The 3799-nt window shown below is 43.8% G+C and overlaps 1 annotated feature.

Moving 5' to 3' along the window:
• Window positions 1613-2564: an enhancer, noted in NCBI's record as "NANOG-H3K27ac hESC enhancer chrX:3470673-3471624 (GRCh37/hg19 assembly coordinates)". NCBI's record gives its function as "activates a minimal SCP1, AML or CMV promoter by ChIP-STARR-seq in primed H9 embryonic stem cells {active_cell/tissue: H9 hESC(primed)}" and the evidence as "EXISTENCE:reporter gene assay evidence [ECO:0000049][PMID:30033119]".

The following is a 3799-nucleotide window of genomic DNA, read 5'->3' as shown; positions in this document are numbered from 1 at the left end:
GTTAGAGGCCCTCAAAATCACAAACTATGCTCAACTCACTCTCTACACTTCTCATAACTTCCAAAATCTATTTTCTTCCTCATACCTGATGCATATACTTTCTGCTTCCCGGCTCCTTCAGCTGTACTCACTCTTTGTTGAGTCTCCCACAATTACCATTGTTCCTGGCCCGGACTTCAATCCGGCCTCCCACATTATTCCTGATACCACACCTGACCCCCATGACTGTATCTCTCTGATCCACCTGACATTCACCCCATTTCCCCAAATTTCCTTCTTTCCTGTTCCTCACCCTGATCACGCTTGATTTATTGATGGCGGTTCCACCAGGCCTAATCGCCACACACCAGCAAAGGCAGGCTATGCTATAGTACAAGCCACTAGCCCGCCTCTTAGAACCTCTCATTTCCTTTCCATCGTGGAAATCTATCCTCAAGGAAATAACTTCTCAGTGTTCCATCTGCTATTCTACTACTCCTCAGGGATTATTCAGGCCCCCTCCCTTCCCTACACATCAAGCTCCAGGATTTGCCCCCACCCAGGACTGGCAAATTAGCTTTACTCAACATGCCCTGAGTCACAAAAACTAAAATACCTCTTAATCTAGATAGACACTTTCACTGGATAGGTAGAGGCCTTTCCTACAGGGTCTGAGAAGGCCACCGCAGTCATTTCTTCCCTTCTGTCAGACATAATTCCTCAGTTTAGCCTTCCCACCTCTATACCGTCTGATAACAGACCAGCCTTTATTAGTCAAATCACCAAGCAGTTTTTCAGGCTCTTAGTATTCAGTGAAACCTTTATATCCCTTATAGTCCTCTATCTTCAAGAAAAGTAGAGCAGACTAAAGGTCTTTTAAAAACACACCTCACCAAGCTCAGCCACCAAAAAGGACTGGACAATACTTTTATCACTTTCCCTTCTCAGAAATCAGGCCTGTCCTCAGAATGCTACAGGGTACAGCCCATTTAAGCTCCTGTATAGACACTCCTTTTATTAGGCCCCAGTCTCATTCCAGACACCGGACCAACTTAGACTGTGCCCCCCAAAAAACTTGTCATCCCTACTATCTTCTGTCTAGTCATACTCCTATTCACCGTTCTCAACTACTCATACATGCCCTGCTCTTGTTTACACTGCCGGTTTACACTGTTTCTCCAAGCCATCACAGCTGATATCTCCTCGTGCTATCCCCAAACTGCCACTCTTAACTCTTGAAGTAAATAAATAATCTTTGCTGGCAGGACTATGCTGAATCTCCTTAGGCACTCTCTAATCAGATGTCCTAGGTCCTCCCAATTCTTAGACCTTTTATACCTGTTTTTCTCCTTCTTTTATTCCATTTAGTTTTTCAATTCATACAAAACCGTATCCAGGCCATCACCAATCATTCTATACGACAAATGTTTCTTCTAACATCCCCACGATATCACCCCTTACCACAAGACCTCCCTTCAGCTTAATCTCTCCCACTCTAGGTTCCCACGCCGCCCCTAATCCCGCTCGAAGCAGCCCTGAGAAACATCGTCCATTCTCTCTCCATACCACCCCCCAAAAATTTTCACTGCCCCAACACTTCAACACTATTTTATTTTTCTTATTAATATAAGAAGGCAGGAATGTCAGGCCTCTGAGCCCAGGCCAGGCCATCGCATCCCCTGTGACTTGCACATATACACCCAGATGGCCTGAAGTAACTGAAGATCCACAAAAGAAGTGAAAAGGCCCTGCCCCGCCTTAACTGATGACATTCCACCATGGTGATTTGTTCCTGCCCCAGCTTAACTGAGTGATTAACCCTGTGAATTTCCTTCTCCTGGCTCAGAAGCTCCCCCACTGAGCACCTTGTGACCCCCGCCCCTGCCCACCAGAGAACAGCCCCCTTTGACTGTAATTTTCCATTACCTTCCCAAATCCTATAAAACGGCCCCACCCCCATCTCCCTTCGCTGACTCTCTTTTCAGACTCAGCCCGCCTGCACCCAGGTGAAATAAACAGCCCTGTTGCTCACACAAAGCCTGTTTGGTGGTCTCTTCACATGGACGCGCATGAAAGAAATGTTCATCTCATCCAAAAACACCCACACAGTAACATCCAGGGTAACCTTTGACCACACGTCTGGGCACTGTGGATAAAATTCACCATCACACCAGCCCGGTGGATACATAAAATTCATCATCACGCCAGTCAAGTGGACGCATAAAATTCACCATCACACTAGCCAAGTGGACATATGAAATTCACCATCACACACTATGAGAAACTGAATCACAGATGGTAAGGAAATGAAGTCACAGGTCTATGTCAGTGGTTGTCAGTTGGGGTGATTCTGAACTCCATACCCAAACCCCAGGGGGCATTCAGCAATGTCTGCTTGTACTTTTGGTTAATACACCTGGGGAGAGTACTACTGGCATGTGGTGAGTAGAGGCCAGGGATGCTGCTTAACACCCTACAATGCACAGGCTGCTTCCCATAATAAAGAATTACTTGGTTCAAATATCAATAGTGCCAAGATTGGGAAACTCTGATATGCAATAATGACAAAAGTTATAACAGGTAACTTTATGACTAGTTAGACATTTAGAATGTTGTTGATTTTATGACTAGTTTAATCATAGTGTATTTTTTTAAAAGTAAGTATATATGTTTTATTTTATGAATATTATATATTTGCAATTGTATTTTGATACTTTTGCATGTTATTAAGTGACATCTCCTCCTAACTGTGTCTATGTATATATTGATCTCTCATCTATCCCATTCAGGAGGCTCCATCCTCATGACCTCATCACCTCCCAAGGGCCTCACCCCCTGACACCATCATCTTGGGGGTGAGGATTTCAGCATAGGAATTGTGGGAGACACAAGCATTCAGTTCATTGCACATGGTTGTACAGTTTTGTAAAATCCCCCAAAGTAAGATACATTCAAATTCATTTTCTGAAAGATGACTTCTGAAATTTTGTAAGCTTCAGCTCCCACAAAACCTGCATCTAATCCTAAATGCAAGGAGTGTATTCCTGGTTTTGATGGTGGTAGTTATGGCCACGGTTGTTTCTGACTTTCCAGTCAAGGAGATCCTGCGATGATCTGAGAAGCTAATGCACAGGATTCAGTGAGGAGTGAACTTGTTCATCTGTAGAATGTGGATGGCCTTTCTTTCCTTCTGGGAGCCAGCTCCCCTGTGGAGGAGAAATTCACCAAGTATCTTTTTTATTTTTAAATTTAATTTTATCTTCCTAATTTTATTTTTTTAGAGACAGGGTCTCATTCTGTCACCCAAGCTGGAGTGCATTTTTTATTATTTATTTTATTTTCCTAAGTTTATTTTTTTTAGAGACGGGGTTCTCACTCTGTCACCCAAGCTGGAGTGCATTGGTGCAGTCATAGCTCACTGCAGCCCCCACCTCCTGAGTTCAAGCGATCCTCTTACCTAAGCCCCCTGCGTAGCTGGGACTGCAGGTAGATACCACCAGGCTTGGCTAATTTTTAAAATATTTTTAGAGATAGGGTCTTGCTCTGTCGCCCAGGCTTGTCTCGAACTCCTAGGTTCAAGTAATCCTCCTACCTCAACTTCCCAAAGGGCTGGGATTAAAGATGTGAGCCACTGCTCCAGCCACGCCAAGTATACTTGTTCACCATTCTCCAATGCCCTTCATATCTGTATACATTTTATTTTGTTGGATCAACAGAAAGGATTTGGTTGAAATTCTTTGACTATACTCTGTGCAGGTATTGCAAATTTTGGTGACTATTACAGTGTCAGTTGCAGGCTAATTGTGATTTAGATTCAGAA

This window comes from Homo sapiens, chromosome X (assembly GCF_000001405.40).
Source record: "Homo sapiens chromosome X, GRCh38.p14 Primary Assembly".
NCBI classification, from domain to species: domain Eukaryota; kingdom Metazoa; phylum Chordata; class Mammalia; order Primates; family Hominidae; genus Homo; species Homo sapiens.
Note: the sequence above shows the minus strand (reverse complement) of the source record. Positions and strands in the feature narration are given on the sequence as shown.